This window comes from Homo sapiens, chromosome 4 (genome assembly GCF_000001405.40).
Source record: "Homo sapiens chromosome 4, GRCh38.p14 Primary Assembly".
In the NCBI taxonomy this organism is placed as follows: domain Eukaryota; kingdom Metazoa; phylum Chordata; class Mammalia; order Primates; family Hominidae; genus Homo; species Homo sapiens.
The window spans coordinates 123492162-123514300 of NC_000004.12; the positions used below are offsets into that span (position 1 = coordinate 123492162).

General features: G+C 40.8%; 1 non-coding gene across 1 annotated transcript, besides 2 other annotated features; it reads right to left on the minus strand.

Annotated features, from left to right (window-relative positions):
- Positions 9521 to 10022: an enhancer, noted in NCBI's record as "NANOG hESC enhancer chr4:124422837-124423338 (GRCh37/hg19 assembly coordinates)". NCBI's record gives its function as "activates a minimal SCP1, AML or CMV promoter by ChIP-STARR-seq in primed H9 embryonic stem cells {active_cell/tissue: H9 hESC(primed)}" and the evidence as "EXISTENCE:reporter gene assay evidence [ECO:0000049][PMID:30033119]".
- Positions 13380 to 14227: an enhancer, noted in NCBI's record as "OCT4-NANOG-H3K27ac-H3K4me1 hESC enhancer chr4:124426696-124427543 (GRCh37/hg19 assembly coordinates)". NCBI's record gives its function as "activates a minimal SCP1, AML or CMV promoter by ChIP-STARR-seq in primed H9 embryonic stem cells {active_cell/tissue: H9 hESC(primed)}" and the evidence as "EXISTENCE:reporter gene assay evidence [ECO:0000049][PMID:30033119]".
- On the minus strand, positions 16689 to 16760 carry TRC-GCA2-1 (tRNA-Cys (anticodon GCA) 2-1). Its single transcript has one exon. It is a non-coding gene; the product is annotated as a tRNA-Cys (tRNA).
- Positions 16761 to 22139: the final 5379 nt, after the last annotated feature.

Sequence of the window (22139 nt, forward strand, 5' to 3'; positions counted from 1 at the left end):
AATCCAGTTACAGTAGCCTCCTTCAGGTTAATATTTACTTGATATATTTTTCTACCACATTACTTTAAGTTTCCATGTCTTTAAATTATATGTATTTCTGTTGAAATCAGTGTATAATTGGATTTCATCTTTTGTTTAATCTGAAAATCTCTGTCTTTTAATAGATGAATTTAATCTATTTATATTCAATATGATTGTTGACATATCTGCCTTTATTTCTACCTATTATTTGGTGTTTTTTATTTACTATACTTTTTTTTTCTTTCCTTTCCTTTCCTTCTCCCATCACTTTTCCTGCCTTATGTACTTGATTGAATTTCCCCCCCAATTCTCCACCAATTCTGGTTTGGAAATAATGCCTTCTGCCTTCTACATTCACACACACACACACACAGACACACACACACACACACACACACACACACGTATTACATTTGCGTTAGCATTTTAGTTCTATAAGTTTTACTCTTATACTAACAAATGTTTTTAAGATTTACACACATATTTATCATTTCTTGGCGTGAAATTATCTCTTGCATCTTATTTCTTCCTTCTGGGTTAAATATCTTCTTTCTGAAATACATATTTTAGAAGTTTTCCATTGAGAGTGTGTTAATATTAAGGCTCTGATTTTCTGTGTGTCTGAAAATGTCTTATCTTTACTGTTGAATAAAAATGTATTTGGGAATAGAATTCTGAGTTATCTGGTATTTTTCTGCCGCGTATTGAAATGATATTAAATTGTCAAGTCATTTCATTAATAAGGCTGAGATAAGTCTGTTTATCATTGTTCTTAGGTAGCTGGCTTTTGTCTTTACTTGCTTTTATGAGTTCCACTTCATCTAGATGTAAATTTATATTTATTTACACTGTTCAGGACACCACATTCCTGAACCTGAAAATTCATGTCATTCATTCATTCTGGAAAAGCCTAAGCCGCTAGATCATCAAATGTTACTTCTCCACATTCTGTTTATTTCTGGAATTCTTATGGGCTTTCTCTTTCCACATTCTATGTCTCTTAGAAGCTTTTTGATTTTTTAAAAATGTCTTTCTCTCTGTGTTGAATTCTGAGTAGTCTTCCCATAAGGTGCTTTTAAATGTATTTAATCAATTTAAATATACTTATTTGATATTATCTTAGAGTTTATAATTGTTTTAATTCTTTGCTTAATTCTGTTGTTGGTTGTGTTTGCTAACTCTTAAATGTGGTGGATTCCTTATATAATTGTGAATTGTGTGAGACCATTTTCAGAAGGGCTGTATCTATGTGAAGTTTGTGCATCTTGAGTTGAAGGTGTATTACTCCACAGATTTTATATTTATCCTGCCAGAAGTTCAAGGGATTTAAAGTCAGGGGTCCAATTTCTATGTTAATTTCATGGTTTGAGTACTAAGACTATGTCAGTAGCATATAAATCCCAGTTTCTGGGTATGTGTGGTATACACCAATGGTATTAATATGTAGAATAGACCTTGATCCCAGGCTTAACTAGACAAGTATCTGCCAGTTGGAGAATTTTTCAGTCCACCCAGACTTTTTTTTTTTTTTTTTTTTTTTTTTGAGATAGAGTCTTGCTCTGTTGCCCAGGTTGGAGTGCAATAGCACAATCTGGGCTCACTGCAACCTCCACCTCCTGGGTTCAATGGATTCTCCTGCCTCAGCCTCCTGAGTAGCTGGGATTACAAACATGCACCACCATACCCAGATAATTTTTGTATTTTCAGTAGAGATGGGGTTTCGCCATGTTGGCCAGACTGGTCTTGAACTCCTGACCTCAAGTGATCCGTCTGCCTCAGCCTCCCAAAGTGCTAGGAATCCAGGCATGAGCCACTGCGCGTGGCCCAGCCTGCCCAGACTTTTTCAGCTACTTTTATTATCATTTTTTTCTTTTCATCCTAAAACACAAACCCCACACTCACTGCTTCTACCTGGAGGCAGAAATCCTTGTCTCTGTTGCCCACCCATCCTTGTCTATGTTGTCTGGATGGCCCACTGCAGTGCCCCAATTTGTCCATCACTGTGCAGGCTGACCCTTCTTCCTATACTTCCAAACAGGAGGCTGCTGTTTCATTCCAAAGTAGTAGCTCCCTGACCACGTTCTGGCCTGTGTCTTCCTTCTTCTATTCAATTTTGTGGCCTTCAGTTTCTGATTCGCTGAGTTCCTCTTTACGTTTTGTCTCTTGACTGTGCATGTTTATGTTAAAATATATTTTATATGTTTTCTAGGGATTCGTTGTAGTTCTAGCCCATCAATATAAAACAGAGCCTAACTAAACACTGTTGTACAAAATCTTTGCCCACGTGTCTGACTCTTTCCCTGAGATAAGATTACAGAGAGATAATTGTTTGGTCAAAAAGCTATAGGAAGTGATCCACTGCTCATAATATATAGCAGCACACTATTTTCTGAAAGGTGATAATTTGATTCCCACCAGTAGGTTCTTTTGATAAGTGATATATTTCAGACATAAATAGACTGGGAGCTAGGGAGTACCTTATTTGGACTCATTTGCATTGAGATAGAGGAAATTTTGTGTGATCTTTCAATAAAGGTTTCTCAGAAGAAATGATGTCCAAGTTGAGTCTTCAAAGATGAGTAGTAGCTAGCTACGCGAGGTGTAGGGGAGTCTTAGGGGAGAGGGAACAGATCCTAAGGAAGAAAGACCTTGCAACAAGGTGGTAAACATACATGATAATGATTCCCACCCAGTTATTATCCAAGGGGTCTATAGTCACTTACCTGGAAGAACATACACCGAGGAAAGGGGAACACCCAACCTTTCAAGAGCTGTTTCAACTTGACATTGATACTCAGAAATTTGAAGAGTTGTTATGGCTTCCCTGTGAGACTGGAGGCACATGGAGACTCTAGGGGGATATCAGCTAATTGGACTTGGTGGTCAGTAAGTGGCAAATATGTTGGAAACCTTGATAAGAAAAATTTCCTCCAGGAGGTAGAAGATAAACACTCTGATAAATCAGGGGCTGGCCTTTATCAGTAACACTTTTAGGAATCCAGTGGTCTGGGACATGCTGAAACAACTTTTGGTTGTACCAACTACAAAGCAAAGGACAAATGACTGCACCTCACACCTCCTATCACAAAGAAGGAAGCACAAAACTAGGTAGAACTAATTGGGTTTGGAAGCATCATAGTCCACATCTGGCAATATTGTTCCTATTTGGGGTGATTCCAAATGCTTCCAGCTGTAAGTGGGATCTAGAGCAGAAAAGGGCTTTGCAGTGTGTCCAGGCTGCAAAGCAAGTGGCCTTCTCATCTGGGCAATACAGTCCAGCAGAACCTATAATATTGGAGGAATCTGTGGTGGGAAAATATGTTGTGAGGAGATGAAAGTAAGTCCCAATAGGGGAATCACAATATAAACCTCTAGGATTCTGAAGCAAAGATTTTATAGCATTAGAAAATCAGCTGCTGACTGGCAACTAAGTCCTGGTAGAGATAGAACACCTGACCATGGGTCATCAAGTGACCATGAAGCCAGAATTGCCTGTCATCAACTGAGTTCTGCAAGAGTTATGAGTCAGGCAAGACAAGCAATCCATTTAAGCAATCCATTTAAGACAGAAATAGTACATTCAGGATCAGGCACATGAGGGCTGATGGGCACAAGGCAGCTGCATGAGCAGCTAGAAGAGAACCCCAGGTATCTACCATGTTACACTAGTGTCCTTTTCTTGGGTCACAACTGTGAACCTATTGCCGTATTGGGGATCTATACGGCCAGCTGAAGGAGGATAGAACTCAAGCTTGGTTTACCTGAGTCACCCTGGAACGTGATGCAAACTGAAAATGTACAGTGGTTGCATTATAGCCAGAGGTGTGCTGAAGGTAGCTCACACAGGCTTCTGAGTGCTGAATGTATGCATCTCTACCCAATCCTGCAACACAGATATCCCACTGGGAGCTTGTAATGGCCACAGTAGGACTATTGTCACTACAGAAAGCAGCAAATGTTGTAAATCAGGACTCTTTTCTCCCCTGGAGAACTGGTTGTGGAATATTTTTCAGCAATCTACTGATGACAGCCCCATCCAACCAGACACTTTACTCAAACCAGAAGAGCTACCTAAAGGTTAGAGAGATCTAGAATATGGAGTAGAGGAGAGATACGACGTGACCAACTGCAGTGGTGGGGACTTTAGCTTGCACCGCTAACCTTTTTCTTAGAATTTTGTCCCAGGAAAAGAGGCCACCATAGTCCTGGAGGAGTTACTTCCGGAAGGTATGTGAAGGCTGTGGATCCAAGCAATGCAAAGGGTATACTCTAGTGGATGTTGTGATATGCCACCCAGATCCCCTGGTGAGTATGGAAGGACTTATTCCACTATCTGCTGGAAGTGCTGCCGGGTGTGTTGCTCAACTGTCAGCACTGTCTGGAAATTACCTTTGCTCCAACTGAAGGTACCCAGCCCTCTTGATTCAACTCAGGACAACTCTCCAGGGCCATCCCAGTTTCATGGCTTCCCATGGGGTCAACTGAGGCCTTTCATGAGACTAAGCTGCAGTCCTACTTTGCCCTCTGCACAATCTTACTGCCTTCCCTTCCTCCACAGGTGTTGATCCTGAGAGTGCTTTGTTAAAAAACATTCTCCATGCTGACCTCCGTTTTCGAGTCCGCTTCCTGGGGAAACCTGAAACAGGACTTGATGCTAGCAGCTGCCCAGAAGAACCAGATGGGCCACTGTCCTTGCCAGAAGATCTGATATCCTGTGTATGGCCACCACCTAACACTGCTCACTTCTACATGTAAACCTCAGGTAGGTGTGTCTGTTTGGAAGAACTGTAGGTAAAGGGAGTCTTCGAAATTTAGCTTTTAGTTTTCCAACCTTTATAATAGAGGATGTTGTGCTAGAAGAGGGTTTGGATGGGTGCAAATTGGGTAAGACAACTTACAATATCTGCCACAGTCGTACCCTATATCATTTATTCTTTCCATACAAATAATAACAGAAAGAGCAACATGCGCCTGACAAACATAATGCAATGAATCCTCCTACAAATACATTCTCACCCTCTCCCTAAAAAGGGAGTAAAAAAGTCAGTCACTGAATCTATCTCTGAGTGATGTTCATTTCTACTCCAATTTAGTCACAATCCCATCTTCTTAGCTTGTATCCTAGGGATTAAAATGATAAAAGTAACACCAGCAATTCACCCTATTTAAGATAATGAAAATGGATTTTTAAAACGAGGAAAGAAATGATAAGCCGCTGTAACCAACCATCCTCTTCTTTTTGAACTGATCACAAGTTTATTGTGGACGTTTATAGTTTCCTCTACTACCCATTCAATGTTTACTGTGCCTTCATTCAACATCTCAGCTGGCCTGAGTTCTTTTCCTGGTGAAACAATCATCATTTTTGTGCCTGAGGGGTCTGAACTCTTGGCGACCCTACTAGTATGAGGTTTCTATGGTTTCCGGGCGGATTTATTTTTTAATTGTGGTAAAACATACACAACATAAAATATACCATATTTGCCATTTGTAAGTGTATGATTCAGTAACTTTAAGCATATTCACAATGTTGTGTAACCATTACCACTATCTATTTCCAGAACTTTTTCATCATATCAAACAGAAATTCTGCACTTATTAAGCAATATCTCCCCCATTCCACCTCTCCCCACCCTAGTCCCTGGTAACCTCTGTTCTACTTTCTGTCTCTATGAATTTGCATATTTTGGATTATTTATATAAGTGAAATTGTACAATATTTGCCCTTTTGTGTCTGGTTTATTTTACTTAGTATAAGGTTTTCAAGGTTCATTTATGTTGTAGCATGTATCAGAATTTCATTCCTTTTTAAAACTGAATAATATTCCATTCCAGGCATATACCACATTTTGTTTATCCATTCATCTGTTGATGGATGCTTAAGCTGTTTCCATCTTTGGGTTATTGTGAATGCTGCTATGAACCTGGCATACAAGTATCTCTTTGACCTTTGACTTCTTGCTTTCAGGTCTTTTGGATATATACACACACACACACACACACACACCCCCTTTTTGGATATATATACATATATATACACACACATATATACCTTTTGGAGATATATACACCTTTTGGATATATATACACACATACCTTTGGATATAAATCTTTATATATATAGGATATATATTTTGAATATATATACATCTTTTGTATATATATATCTATATATCTTTTAGATATAGATACTTTGGAGAGATATATATATATCCAAAAGATATATATATATATATATCCAAAAGATATATATATATATCCAAAAGATATATATAGATATATGTATATCCAAAAGATATATAGATAGATATATCCAAAAGATATATAGATAGATAGATATATCCAAAAGATATATATAGATAGATAGATATATCCAAAAGATATATATAGAGATAGATATATCCAAAAGATAGATAGAGAGATAGATAGATATCCAAAAGATAGATATAGAGAGATAGATATATCTCCAAAAGATAGATATAGAGAGATAGATATATCTCCAAAAGATAGATATAGAGAGATAGATATATCTCCAAAAGATAGATATAGAGAGATAGATATATCTCCAAAAGATAGATATAGAGATAGATAGATATATCTCCAAAAGATAGATATAGAGAGATAGATATATCTCCAAAAGATAGATATAGAGAGATAGATATATCTCCAAAAGATAGATATAGAGAGATAGATATATCTCCAAAAGATAGATATAGAGAGATAGATATATCTCCAAAATATCTTTCAGCCAGACTGTAATGAAGTCTTTAACAAGCCATTCCACAATTATTTTTGTCAGGTCAACTATTTAGGGGTGGAGTAGATAATGAAACCAGTGAAGTCTATGGGCATGTGACCATTGCCTTACGTTTATTTTTCAGTGCATTTATCCTCTTGATTAGAAGAAATGATGTATGTAGTGGACCATGTTGGTGAATAAGGCATTCATTTGGCACAAGTAAATTACTGCATAAAGAAGCAATTGCAGTAGGGTGGTCAAATCCATATCCAAAACAAACTATCTGTGAGGACAATAACTATTCCCTCTATGATGAAAGGATGAAAGGATCCGATGTAAGTTACCTTACCTGATGACTGCCTAGTTCCTTCATGGTCAGGTTGCTCTATTAAAGGCTCAATATTGATTTTCTGCTGCTTGCAGATTAGAAACTGCAGAAGATAGATAGTTTAGCTGTGGTTGAGAAAAATCCATGTTGAGCCCATATATAACCCCATACCTACAGTCTCTTATTTCATAAGCCAACTAAACATAGCTAAGTAAAGAGAACAAACCAATATCTAGAAAACAGGCAATCTTAATAACCTGACTATTTAAAGCTTCCTTTGAAGAGGAATCTTCACTACTGACCTTCATTACTGACCTACAAAGGAAAGCCACCACTCCATTAAAAAAAATGTTGGTACTTACCCTTGCCAATGTATTATGTAATGTCAAGGTTCAATGAGTGTCCTCTAGGCCCTCTTGGTATATGTAGTTAGGAACTGGGTAAGCAGACTGCACATGAAAATATGTCTCAACCTAGCTATTTCTTTAAGTCTTTAGGTTCTTTCCTCTACATGGTATCAAGAAATTTCTGGCATCTGAAACAACTCTGAGTCTAGGTTTCAGAAAACCAAGTGAACAAATGGAACAAGCGCCAATTGTTTAAGATGAAATCACTGATAACTGCAGCCATGTTGATTAATTCAACCTGATCTAAAATTATTTACCCTCTCTTTTGTTTAGAAACCTTAGAGTCTGTTCCAACACATATAATCTATGTTCTTGATGTTCTAAATTAGAAAAATGATACAATTGTGTTTGAGTCTTTCTCTCTTTGGTTTAATTTTATAATCTAGTGAATGCTGGAATATGACTGTAGTTATAAGTCTTGAGGCAATGAATGGTGGTAGAAGAGAAGGATAAGGAGAATTGGTACTCATTGCAAGTTATTTATGTGAAGTGAGATTGTTATAGACTCTTAAAGAAAGATAGTTACAACTTCAACATACAGAAGAGGAGGAGCCGATTAAGCTGAACTAGTGCATTAGAGCTTGGCAGTTTAGACACTCATTGCAGCTAAATCCTCCCAGATATCTCCATTCCAGTTAAGGGTGGGGTTGGCAGTGTAACAAGCGATTCAAAGTTTCACATAAGAGACCTAATATGAATGTAAATTCATCTATGTCATAATTCAGGGACTCATGGAATCAGACTCTATATCTCAGTTTTGGCTATGTCAGACAAAAAATGTGGCTGACAAAAGATAAAATGTCTTTAGGGTAATTATAGTAATTCCTTGGTCTCTGATCAGGCCTTAAACAAGAACTAAGAACCTTGATGTCATCCTTTTCTTTATTTAAGTGCTCCAGTACAATGGAAGTAGTCTGGCTTATGTCCCTCCATTCTGTTCTATAATGGTGGCCACTTGGTCTGTAAAACCTTGTCTTCACTAAGAAGCATCCTGGTGGTCCCAGTGACTGTATTCTGGTGACTGCCAGTAAAGGTTTAGGCAACCTCCATCACTGTGCTCCCTCCCAATAGTAACCAGATCCTCAGTGCTTTCACATCCAACCAAGTCAGACAACCAATCTCAGATTTCTATTTCCCTCACTTGAAGTACCTCTGTTACCAATTACTTTATGCAGCAGAATTCACTCTAATTGGTTCAAGCAGATACCAGATACTTGGTAGTTAAAGAAGGAGGCCAAAGAACTATGCCCAAGTGGTTGCTACAACAGCTAGGAATGGAGCAGCCCTGAGAAATTTGCTAAGTCCAACAAAGGACTGTTTTGAGCAAAACACTCCTGGCATTGCCTCCTGGTCACTTGGAACCTACAACTCTAGGAACTGAGCTTCAGAAACTCTTCCACAGCTGCCCAAGAAGAATTGGAGGTTTCTGCTTTCCGGGAGACTTGATCTCCTCACCTTGTTCACTTCCACCTTCGAGTTCTGTGTGGTCATGTTGGCTTGGCAGAAGCTAGATTTCATACGGACCTTCACTGCAAGGGAGTCTGGAAAGTGTGGAGTTCATCTTTTGGCCTGTGAAGCACAGGAAGTCAAGCTACAAGAGGGTCTAGAAATGCTGAGGAACTTGCTGGGCATGGTGGCTCACACCTGTAATCCCAGCACTTTGGGAGGCTAAAGTGGGTGGATCACCTGAGGTCAGGCATTCAAGACCAGCCTGGCCAACATGGTAAAACTCCATCTCTACTAAAAATACAAAAATTAGCTGGGCATGGTGGCATGTGCCTGTAGTCCCAGCTACTTGGGAGGCTGAGGCAGGAGAATTGCTTGAACTCGGGAAGCAGAGGTTGCAGCAAGCAGAGATCGTGCGGCTGCGCTCCAGCCTGGGTAACAGAGTGAGACTCCGTCTCAAAAAAAAAAAAAAAAAAAACACAGAAAAGAAAAGAGAAATGCTGAGGAACACAACTCATTGTTCACTTTTACAGGAGCTGTCAAACCTCTGGCCCTATTCTCCATTTAATGAAACTTAGCAGATAGTATAGGCAGGTCACAGGTGGGAGTCAGAGAGGCCATTTTAGCTGTGAGTGATTTCTTCTTAAAGATGAGGAATTTCAAAGGAAGAGTGGAGCTATGGAAGAGGTACTTGTAATTATGATATAAAAATAGAAAGCAGATGTGTCAGACATTACAGCAAAAAAGGAAAAGAAGTCCGTATTTACAAAACAAAGAACTAATGGCATTTCTTTTCAATCTCCTAAGGTATGACAATGGTGCAGCCAAGAATAACAAAGAACAGGAACTAGAAAAAATGAATTGCAGTTTCTCTTAATTTTCATTCATATCTAAATCCTCTGTTCTTGTATATTCAAATAAAAACAGCAACAGGAACTTAGCTTTGGGCTAAAACTGGAAACAATTCAGGTTGTTATACTTTTTTGAAAACAAAATTTAATTTTTTCAGGTTCAAATAAATGCAATTCAAAGTAATGAAATGATAATCATGAATGATAAGTGAGGGGGGAGGACAACATGGTAAAGAGATGAGAAGATAGTAATTAATTTGGGGGAAAGTTCATATCTGCTATGTACAAAATGTTAGAATTATAAACTCAAGATGTGAAAATTAAAAGAAACCTAGAAACCAGTTGAACTTCTCCCTGCAGGCAGAATTTCTTCTGTATCCCTAACAAACGATTCATCTTCTATCTTCCACTTGACTATTTCTGGGAACAAAGAGCAAGCTGCCATCTTGGTCATCAAATGATAAATAAATGTAGTTTGGTATAACTCTTTCTTAGTAAAATTTTGCTGATATCCAGGGATTACTGTTTTTTTTTTAAGTTCTTATATCCTATGTGGTTTGTTCTTTTATTTACTAATATAATTTCAGATTTATTAGACTGCTCAATAGATGTGAAAAGATTTTTTTTAAAAATTCCACTTACAATCAGAATTAAACATATCAAGGGGATTTGTTCCTTGGGTAGTTTTCAACCTTTCTGTCTAAACATCCCATTCAGTACTCAAACTGTTTTCAACAATGGGCACTGCCAAGAGAAAACCGTTCAAACCACCAAAGAAAATAAAATTCATTTATATATTTTAATTTAATATATTATATATTGAAGACAAAAAGGCAGGGGAAATAGAATGGTTGTTTATAAAAGTTGACTTACACTGATTTACCTGTTACTGAAATAATTATCAAGTGCAGTGATATCAAACCCCAACATTAATTCGGTTACATACTTATCATTTACTGTGAGATTTACATTTTCCTACTGCGGCAACTGTATTGGTCAAAACTCTTTTGGATTGCAAATGACAGAAAAATCATTAAAATGGCTTATTTATTTTACTTTATTTTTTTTTTTTTTGAGAAGGAATCTCGCTCTGTCACTCAGGCTGGAGTGCAGTGGCGCAATCTCGGCTCACTGCAACCTCTGCCTCCCCGGTTCAAGCGATTCTTCTGCTTCAGCCTCCTGAGTAGCTGGGATTACAGGTGTGTGCCACCAGGCCTGGCTAATTTTTGTATTTTTAGTAGAGACGGGGGTTTCACCATATTGGTCAGGCTGGTCGAACTCCTGACCTCAGGTGATCCACCCGCCTCAGCCTCCCAAAGTGCTGAGATTACAGGTGTGAGCCACCACACCCGGCCTTAAAATGGCTTATTTAAAAGAAGGAATTTATTGGCTTACATCACTGAAAAGGTGATTGATTTAGATATGGCTGTATCTGGGTGCTCATATGATATGGTTAATCTCTCACTCTCCTTCTCTTTCTTTCCTATGGATGACTGTTCCTCACTGATGACAGGATGGTAGAGTGCAGCCCCAAGTCTGTATGCTACCACTTATTCCAGCAGTCCCTAATCTTTTTGGCACCAGTGACTGGTTTTGTGGAAGACAATTTTTCCATGGACCTGGGAGTGGGGGATGGTTTCTGGATGATTCAAGTGCATTACATTTATTGTGGACTTTATTTCTATTATTACATTATAATATATAATGAAATAACAATACAATTCACCATAATGTAGAATCAGTGGGACCCCTGAGCTTGTTTTCCTGCAACCAGATGGGACCATCTGGGAGTGATGGGAGACAGTGACAGATCATCAGGCTTTAGATTCTCAGGAGCTGGCAACCTAGATCCCTTGCATGTGCAGTTCACAATAGGGTTTATTCTCCTATGAGAATCTAATGCCACAGCTGATCTGACAGGAGGCGGAGCTCAGGTGGTAATGTGAGCAATGGGGAGCAGTGTCCTGCTGTGTGGCCCAGTTCCTAGCAGGCCACGGACCAGTACCAGTATGTGGCCTGGGGGTTGGGAACCCCTGAGTTATTCAGTTCCACTAGAAAGCAAGAATGGCTTTATTCTAATAATTTCAGCAAAAGTTCCCGGCTATCATGAGATCAACTTGGTTCATATGCCTGTTCCTGAAACTTACCACTATAGACTGAATAGGCTGATGGCAGTCACATGTTTACTGCTGGAAATAGGAAGGACTGCATGTGATGTGAAGTGTACAAAGCCCCAGCTGACAAGGCAGTGCAACCCTGGCTATTTTCTGGGCAAGGCTGGTGCTCTGGTGCTGGACTTCATTTGCCTGAAGGAAGCAGTGCATTTTTCTAACTTGTGTGAAGACATTGTATGGACTAGCTGTGGCCCTGGAGCCATGTATGTGGATGGGGTCGGCCTCACTGAACCACTGAGACTGTGAGTGGGAGAGGGATAGTCCTCTGAATGAAAATTAGGTTCACCTTCTATAAGGGAGAATGGATGCGCAAGCAGAACTATTGGATATACATTACAGAAAGTAATGCCATTACTGTAATTCTGAATCTTGCCTTGTAGAGCAACTCGACTCTTTAAGTCTACTCAACTCAGCTCAACGCAATCCAACAATTATTTTTTATAGGCCAAAGTGTGTGTGTGTGTGTGTTTGCACACACACCTGTGTGCTGGGTAGGGAGGTGTTACCAAAAGAAAAGACCTACCTTCAAAAAGCATAAAGTATTCTGATTTTAAGCCACGCCAACTATGAAAGTTTTTCTTAAATTCGACTCTGTTATACCAAATAAATTAAAAATTATGCAAAATTAAAGATGGTAGCATGTTTCTTTAGTTGCTTTTTAGCAAAATAATCTGTGTATTTCAGTGAATTACACAACTATTAGATGTTCAAATACGATTATATTCTGGTTAACTTACAAAATTAGGAGTTGAAAAATTATTTACTTCATTATATTTGTTATAGATATATCAGTCCTTATTTCCTAACAGTCTGAAATAGCAGCCAAATATAGCTCCTGTAGAAGGTCATCTTAGGTTTTCAGGTGACTTTTAATTACCACGTAGCTTTAAACTACTACTAGTAACTCATCGTTTAAAAAAATTAAATTAGCCTTTTATTTCTGTAAAGAAAACTCACCTTTACTCTCCCTTTACTGTCCTGTAGGAATTTTAACAGGACATGCATTAACTTTAGACCTTAGGGAAAGCACAAAATAAACAGCAAACTGATAATATTATCTCGCCAAAGTAAAACAAGGGATGGAGGCGTGGGGAGAGACGGCGGGCGGTAACTAAGTGCCAAACGGGATTTGTTTTTACTTAAACGTTTACAGAGCATCCGCGAGAACTTCCTTCTAAGCTAAATATGTCATCTAGCACCTGAAAAAATTTAAGTCTGGTTCTTTCTGGATAAAAGAAAGCGCACAGGATTTAAGTGAGTAAATACTTAAGTGAGTAAATTCTTAGAAAAAACAAAACCTAACCGCCACAATTGGACTTTGGAACTTTTTTCCCCCCTTAGCAGCAGGCTGAAATTTTCAGTTCCTCGGTCACTGATCAGGGAATTCTGCGCTTCAGGCTGTGTACACCCGCAAGTCTGGAAGGGTGATGATGATGATGTGATGATGAGTTAGGGCAATTATAACTACGGCAAAAAAAAAAAAAAAAAAAAAAGAGTTCGCAGGGACGCAGCGCTGCCGCCGCCGCCGCCGAGGCCGCGACCACGGCCCGAGCCGGCCACCGCGCGTCAAAGGAGCCATTCAAGGCCCGGCGAGGCCCGGGGGTTGAGAAGTTAAGGAGCGGGAGGTGGTGCGCCGGGGCCGCGGCCGCGCCATTTGCATTTCAATGCGACCCGCTTGTTGACTCAGTGCCCGGCGCTTCCGCAGCTCCCACCAGAATCTGCCTTTGTTGGTTTTAGCTCCGGTCAAGTCCACTTCTTGCATCGGGGGAGCCGCGCGCATTGAGTTTGTGTAGTCAGGCAGAACGCTCGACAGGAAGGAAGGAGGAAGGGGCGCTCTGCGCGGCCATTGTCTGGGCAACCGGGCTTAAGCAGCCGAGTGACTATTTAATCTATAAGGTGCACTTGAATCCCTCGCAAATCCTCTCAGTGTGGAGCGGAGGCACCCAGACAGGGACAGATGGTGCAGAACCCCTTTGTTTAAGAATATGGAAATACGCTTTTTCCTTTACTTAAGGTGGTCCGCTCTTTTAACTGTTGCTATTCCCCCTTGCTGCATTGTCAAGGAGAGGGCATGAGAGACTCATGGGTCTGGTCAGCCCTGCCGAAGCGCCTCCGTATTAAGAAAAAGTAATTGCTGGAAGGGAGTCGCCTCTTTTGGTGAGCCATGAGTACAGTGGAGACCCCACGTACCCTTTTGGTGCCCTTTGCACTTAGGCAGAGAGTAGCCGAAAGAAGTGTGTTCAGAATTCTTGCAAGATTGTTTTTCATGGGCTCCCTCTCTTTCCTTTTTTCACATTAAACATCAAGTTCGGAGGTCTCGGGTTGCTTCCCGTGCAACTACGGGAAAAGGGAGACGTCTTGTCCTCAGGGGGCCCTGCTGCTTCGCATTGACCTCTTGGGCTTGTAAGCAGAGAGGTTGATGGGCAGGATGGCCACTGCAGCTGGGCCGCACCTGTGCTTCTGTGTCCACAGCTGTAATTTAGAGTGTGTTCAACATCAGGCTGGGGAAAGGTACACATAGGTTTGGGGTATTGTAGAAAAGTGGAAGACTGCCCATAGAGCCCTGGAGCATGGTGACATTTCACAAGATAGCTTTTCTGATCTTCCTAACGACATGGAGGACTCCACTTGCAGCGGGACTGGGGATACACTAGGACCATCAGATCCCACCCCCAGTCAGTCTGAAATGAATTCAACCAACCGTCCACACATATAAGTCTCAGTTTTTGTTTAAAACATGCAGTCAGGCGAGGCGCAGTGGCTCACGCCTGTAATCCCAGCACTTTCGGAGGCCCAGGCGGGCGGATCACTTGAGGTCAGGAGTTTGAGACCAGCCTCGCCAAGACGGTGAAACCCTGTCTCTACTAAAAAATACAAAAATTAGCCGGGCTTGGATCCCAGTTACTCAGGAGGCTGAGATGGGAGAATCGTTTGAACCCAGAAGGCGGAGGTTGCAGTGAGCCCAAATCGTGCCACTGCACTCTAGCTTGGGCGACAGAGTGAGCTGTCTCAAAAAAAACAATAAAAAAAAATACAGTCATGGTCCTGCTGGGCTGTTCTAGCCATAGTAATACAAAACAAAGGAAAAATCTGAAGGGACAGCTGTCAGGTAAAAATCAAATTCGTTTCCATTTTCAGTACATATTAAACAGGAAGCAGGTAATTGTCTTGTGGTTTTGAAGGTAAAATAAAGAGGACACATTATAAAATAGATGTTGAAGTATTTTAATCTAGGTGTTTCAGTGTCGGGCATGTTAATACATTTCTGTAAAGAGGTAGATGTCTGTTTGGTCTCTAATGCAAACACTTGACTATGTGAAATGCTCACATCCATTTTTTATTTTTCTTAAAAGGCACTTTCTCTTCCCAACCACGTGGCTGCAGACTTCTTGCTCTCAAGTTGTCCTGACATGCTCTGAGAGCACACACAACATACATACAACACCTGGATCTGTGAATTAATTACTGCCTAGGCTACCACCAAGAAGCTTTCCAAGTGGCCAAGTGCAAGGATCTTCTGTTTCTTATCCAAGTACATTCTTTCATCACGGCCTTGGTCCAAGAATTGACCCTTAACTATGAATTCCTGCTTCATTTCCATTTCACTCAGCCATTTTAGAGCAGGAAAAAGCCAGAAGCAGGTGTCAGCCAGCAGGTGTGGCTCATAATTCATATTTTTCACAGAAGCATCATTTGGAGGGGAAAAAATCTGTCTAAGCTGGTTTCAAAGTTAACTTATTAGTATAAATTTTTTAAAAAAGATAGGCCAGCCTGGGCAACAAAGTGAGACCCCTGTCTCTACAGGAAAAAAAAAAAATTAGCTGGGTGTGGTGTTGCACACCTGTTGGCCCAACTACTCAGGAGGCTGAAGTGGGAGGATCACTAGAGCCCAGGAGGTTGAGGCTACAGTGAGCTGTGATCAGGCCACCGCACTCCAGCCTGGGCAACAGAGTAAGTCCCCATCTCTAAAGAAAAAAATAAAAATAAAATAAAAAATTTGGGAGTGGCGAGGGTCAGTGTTTTTTCTTATAATACATGCTCAGCCGGGCGCGGTGGCTCACGCCTGTAATCCCAGCACTTTGGGAGGCTGAGGCGGGCGGATCACAAGGTCAGGAGATCGAGAGCATCCTGGCTAACACGGTGAAACCCTGTCTCTACTAAAAATACAAAAAAGAAAAAAAATTAGCCGGGCGTGGTGGCTGGCGCCTGTAGTCCCAGCTACTCGGGAAGCTGAGGCAGGAGAATGGGGTGAGCTCGGGAGGCAGAGCTTGCAGTGAGCCGAGATCGCGCCACTGCACTCGAGCCTGGGCAACAGAGCAAGACTCTGTCTTAAAAAAAAAAAAAAAAAAAAAAAAAAAAACATGCTTAAGTGTTGCTTGGTAAACAATTTGCTTAGAAATACAAATGTTAACCTGAGACAGCTTTGCTTGCAGTTTTTTTTTTTTTTTTTTTTTTGAGACGGAGTCTGGCTCTGTCGCCCAGGCTGGAGTGAGTGGCGCGATCTCGGCTCACTGCAAGCTCCGCCTCCCGGGTTCACGCCATTCTCTTGCCTCAGCCTCCCCAGTAGCTGGGACTACAGGTGCCCGCCACCGCCATGGTCTCGATCTCCTGACCTCGTGATCTGCCCCGGCCTCCCAAAGTGCTGGGATTACAGGCGCGGCCTCCCAAAGTGCTGGGATTACAGGCGTGAGCCACCGCGCCCGGCAAAACTCCAGAGCACAGAGGGGGCACCCGGATTTGAACCGGGGACCTCTTGATCTGCAGTCAAATGCTCTACCACTGAGCTATACCCCCACCACTGCTTGTAGTTTTAAAATGTTATAGGTTTTTCCTTTTGCATAGTGAAAAATGGAACACAATGTTATTATTCCATGGACAGGTGTGAGCTTGAGCATATTATGTTCTTTGGCTTTCTTTTGATTTTATGTAATGTGTCTTTTGTTGGACTTCATTACAGTGATGGCCTCCCCCTCTGTTTCTGATTAAACCGTGAAACCTCACACACTCACTGATATTTTTTACTTTGTTTTGGTTAGTAAGTAAGTTTTGGTGATGAGACTATGAAGCCACAAATTCCCTAAAGCACTGGAATTCAGTTAAAAGGAAACTACTCCATCCAGCGAAGAGTTTTGGTTTTAGTTGAACCCGGAGCTTTGTGTTCATTCATAGTTAATAAATAATGCCCATTCATCTAGCCCAAGGGGACGAGATTGGGGATGCTCACATTCTATGGGGTGAAGAATTCCTAGAGTGCCTAAGACCAGTGTGTTATGTGGGACCTCGATTAAAGGTCAGAGAATGAGACTATGTATTCCCATAGGGAAGGGATACTTTAGCAACTGACTCTACTTATGAGAGGGTTCGGCCAGCTGGGACATGAATTCAAAGGCTTTAATTATGAATCAGTTCCCATAAGACTATTATGTCTGGATTGAAAGTGTTCAAATTGAACTGTAATTTTTAGTTTCTGCATTGCTTGCTTGGGTTTGAAATGGAAATAATTATGGTGATTCTCCATACCAGAAAGAAGATTATTTACAAGTGCACACCAAAATTTGCATTCAGGTGTGGAATTAGTTTAGGAAAGCTCTCCAAGTCAGAATCTGTTTTCCCCAAAGTCAGCACAGAGCCCCAGTTGCTGCCTCTGAAAGATTTCTGTCGCATCTTATCTGGTATCTGTGGTGGTTGCCAGTATCAACTGCTACCTCTTTGGAAAGTTACTCCCTTGTCTGTGGTGACAGGACACACTCCTGTTTTTCTCCTACCTCCATGGCCTGTCCTTCTTAGTCTTTTTTGGCCTTTCCCCTTTGCCCATCCCTTACTTGTGCTCTCTGAGAAGTTCTCTCATTGGGAGAGAACTCTTTCCTACATTCTCCCTTGGTGAGCTTTCTGGGAAATATTTCTTGAACACACCTCTACTCTCCTGCCTCAGGGCGTTTGCACATATGATTTTGTCTGCTTAGAATGTTCTTTCCTCACATATGGCGATATGTGGCTTGCTTCGTTGTTTAGTTCTCCAGTGTCACCTTTAGACGAAGGCTTTCCTGGTTATCCATAGAAAATAGCAGGTATCTAGTCAGGGCTGGGACTAGGCGGAGGCAAGCAAGATACCCAGGGTACAGAATTTAAGGAGGCACCCACTCTCATGCAAGGGCAGGGTGAGCACCTGAGAATGAGTGCCTCTCTACATTTAGTGTCCTGAGTACCTCGCTTGCCTAAGCCATCTGGCCCTGTACCCAGTCACTCTCCAGTCTCCTTATTTTTCTTCACAGATGTTATCACCCCCTAACATATGTACATAATTGATCACTGTCTGTTTCCCCACCCTTGCCCCACCCACGCCATGACAGTGTGAGCCCTGTGGGAGCAGGCCCTTGTCTGTTTTAGTTTTTGCTGTATCCCTGGAGCCTAGAACAGCTCAGGACATAGTCAGTATTCAGTATATGTTTATATTTAATTAAATATAATGTATAAATGGCTACCATTCATATTATTGATGGCTCTCAAATTTGCAAAAACAAGGTTTGTAAATGGACCTCTCCCCTTGATGCCCCACAAGCTTTTTAAACTCAGCATATCCAAAATTGCGTTTAATACCGTCTGCTGCCAAAAACCTACCTCCCATTTGAATTCTCTTTTCAGATGAATAGCACCTACATGCAGCTCAGATCAAAATGCTAGAGATGTGGTAACTCAGGCTTGCCAAGTTGCTCGGGAAATAACTTCTGCCCTGGTCATCTCCATCCCTAGGGTCCTGCCCTCTCATTCAGGCCCTCCTCCCTGCCTCCAGGGAAAACTGCCTTCACCTTTCAACTGATCTTGCAAATACTTTGCCTTTTCTGTTGGAAACTTCCACCATGTTGCTGTGAAGGGAGCTGTCTAAACCACACATCTGATCATGCCACTTCTTTACCTTATTCTCCTTCCACATAGCCCCATAGGTTTGAAGATCCAATCCAAATTTTGTAGATGAGAAGGCCCTTGTGATCTGCTGCTGAGCCTCCTGTGCCTACTTCCTTTCTTTTCCTGCCCCTGTGTTCTACCCTGCCTCCCCAGCCAACACATAGTCTTTGTGCTCCCTTACGGAATACTTGGAATTGCTAGAAACATCTATCTTTTCTTCTTTTTTTCTTTTTTAATTATACTTTAAGTTCTAGGGTACATGTGCACAACGTGCAGGTTTGTTACGTATATATACATGTGCCATGTTGGAGTGCTGCACCCATTAACTCATCATTTACATGAGGTGTATCTCCTAATGCTATCCCTCCCCCTTCCCCCCACCCCACGACAGGCCCCAGTGTGTGACGTTCCCCTTCCTGTATCCAAGTGTTCTCATTGCTCAATTCCCACCTATGAGTGAGAACATGCGGTGTTTGGTTTTTTGTCCTTGTGATAGTCTGCTGAGAATGATGGTTTCCAGATTCATCCAAGTCCCTACAAAGGACATGAACACATCCTTTTTTATGGCTGCATAGTATTCCGTGGTTTATATGTGCCACATTTTCTTAATCCAGTCAATCATTGATGGACATTTGGGTTGGTTCCAAGTCTTTGCTATTGTGAATAGTGCCGCAATAAACATATGTGTGCATGTGTCTTTATAGCAGCATGCTTTATAATCCTTTGGGTATATACCCAGTAATGGGATGGCTGGGTCAAATGGTATTTCTAGTTCTAGATCCTTGAGGAATCGCCACAATGTCTTCCACAATGGTTGAACTAGTTTACAGTCCCACCAACAGTGTAAAAGTGTTCCTATTTCTCCACAAGCCTTCCAGCACCTGTTGTTTCCTGACTTTTTAATGATCGCCATTCTAACTGGTATGCAATGGTATCTCATTGTGGTTTTGATTTGCATTTCTCTGATGGCCAGTGATGATGAGCATTTTTTCATCTGTCTGTTGGCTGCATAAATGTCTTCTTTTGAGAAGTGTCTGTTCATATCCTTTGCCCACTTTTTGATGGGTTTTTCATTTTTTTTCTTGTAAATTTGTTTGAGTTCTTTGTAGATTCTGGATATTAGCCCTTTGTCAGATGAGTAGATTGCAAAAATTTTCTCCCATTCTGTAGGTTGCCTGTTCACTCTGATGGTAGTTTCTTTTGCTGTGCAGAAGCTCTTTAGTTTAATTAGATCCCATTTGTCAATTTTGGCTTTTGTTGCCATTGCTTTTGGTGTTGTAGACATGAAGTCCTTGCCTACGCCTATGTCCTGAATGGTACTGCCTAGGTTTTCTTCCAGGGTTTTTATGGTTTTAGGTCTAACATTTAAGTCTTTAATCCATCTTGAATTAATTTTTGTGTAAGGTGTAAGGAAGGGATCCAGTTTCAGCTTTCTACATATGGCTAGCCAGTTTTCCCAGCACCATTTATTAAATAGGGAATCCTTTCCCCATTTCTTGTTTTTGTCAGGTTTGTCAAAGATCAGATGGTTGTAGATGTGTGGTATTATTTCTGAGGGCTCTGTTCTGTTCCATTGGTTTGTATCTATGTTTTGGTACCAGTACCATGCTGTTTTGGTTACTGTAGCCTTGTAGTATAGTTTGAAGTCAGGTAGCGTGATGCCTCCAGCTTTGTTCTTTTGGCTTAGGATTGTCTTGGCAATGCAGGCTCTTTTTTGGTTCCATATGAACTTTAAAGTAGTTTTTTCCAATTCTGTGAAGAAAGACATTGGTAGCTTCATGGGGATGGCATTGAATCTATAAATTACCTTGGGCAGTATGGCCATTTTCATGATTTTGATTCTTCCTATCTATGAGCATGGAATGTTCTACCATTTGTTTGTATCCTTTTTTATTTCGTTGAGCAGTGGTTTGTAGGTCTCCTTGAAGATGTCCTTCACATCCCTTGTAAGTTGGATTCCTAGGTATTTTATTCTCTTTGAAGCAATTGTGAATGGGAGTTCACTCATGATTTGGCTCTCTGTTTGTCTGTTATTAGTGTATAAGAATGCTTGTGATTTTTGCACATTGATTTTGTATCCTGAGACTTTGCTGAAGTTGCTTATCAGCTTAAGGAGATTTTGGGCTGAGACGATGGGGTTTTCTAAATATACAATCATGTCATCTGCAAACAGGGACAATTTGACTTCCTCTTTTCCTAATTGAATACTCTTTATTTCTTTCTCTTGCCTGATTGCCCTGGCCAGAACTTCCAACACTATGTTGAATAGGAGTGGTGAGAGAGGGCATCCCTGTCTTGTGCCAGTTTTCAATGGGAATGCTTCCAGTTTTTGCCCATTCAGTATGATATTGGCTGTGGGTTTGTCATAAATAGTTCTTATTATTTTGAGATACGTCCCGTCAATACCGAATTTATTGAGAGTTTTTAGCATGAGGCGCTGTTGAATTTTTTCAAAGGTCTTTTCTGCATCTATTGAGATAATCCTGTGGTTTTTGTCTTTGGTTCTGTTTATATGCTGGATTACATTTATTGATTTGCGTATGTTGAACCAGGCTACCAAGCAAATGGAAAACAAAAAAAGGCAGGGGTTGTAATCCTAGTCTCTGATAAAACAGACTTTAAACCAATAAATATCAAAAGAGACAAAGAAGGCCATTACATAATGGTAAAGGGATCAATTCAACAAGAAGAGCTAACTATCCTAAATATATATGCACCCAATACAGGAGCTCCCAGATTCATAAAGTCCTTAGAGACTTACAAAGAGACTTAGACTCCCACACAATAATAATGGGAGACTTTAACACCCCACTGTCAACATTAGACAGATCAACTAGACAATGTTAAAAAGGATATCCAGGAATTGAACTCAGCTCTGCACCAAGCAGACCTAATAGACATCTACAGAACTCTCCACCACAAATCAACAGAGTATACATTCTTCTCAGTACCACATCGCACTTATTCCAAAATTGACCGCATAGTTGGAAGTAAAGCACACCTCAGCAAATGTAAAAGAATAGAAATTATAACAAACTGTCTCTCAGACCACAGTGCAATCAAACTAGAACTCAGGATTAAGAAACTCACTCAAAACCGCTCAACTACATGGAAACTGAACAACCTGCTCCTGAATGACTACTGGGTACATAACAAAATGAAGGCAGAAATAAAGATGTTCTTTGAAACCAATGAGAACAAAGATACAACATACCAGAATCTCTGGGACACATTTATGGCAGTGTGTAGAGGGAAATTTATAGCACTAAA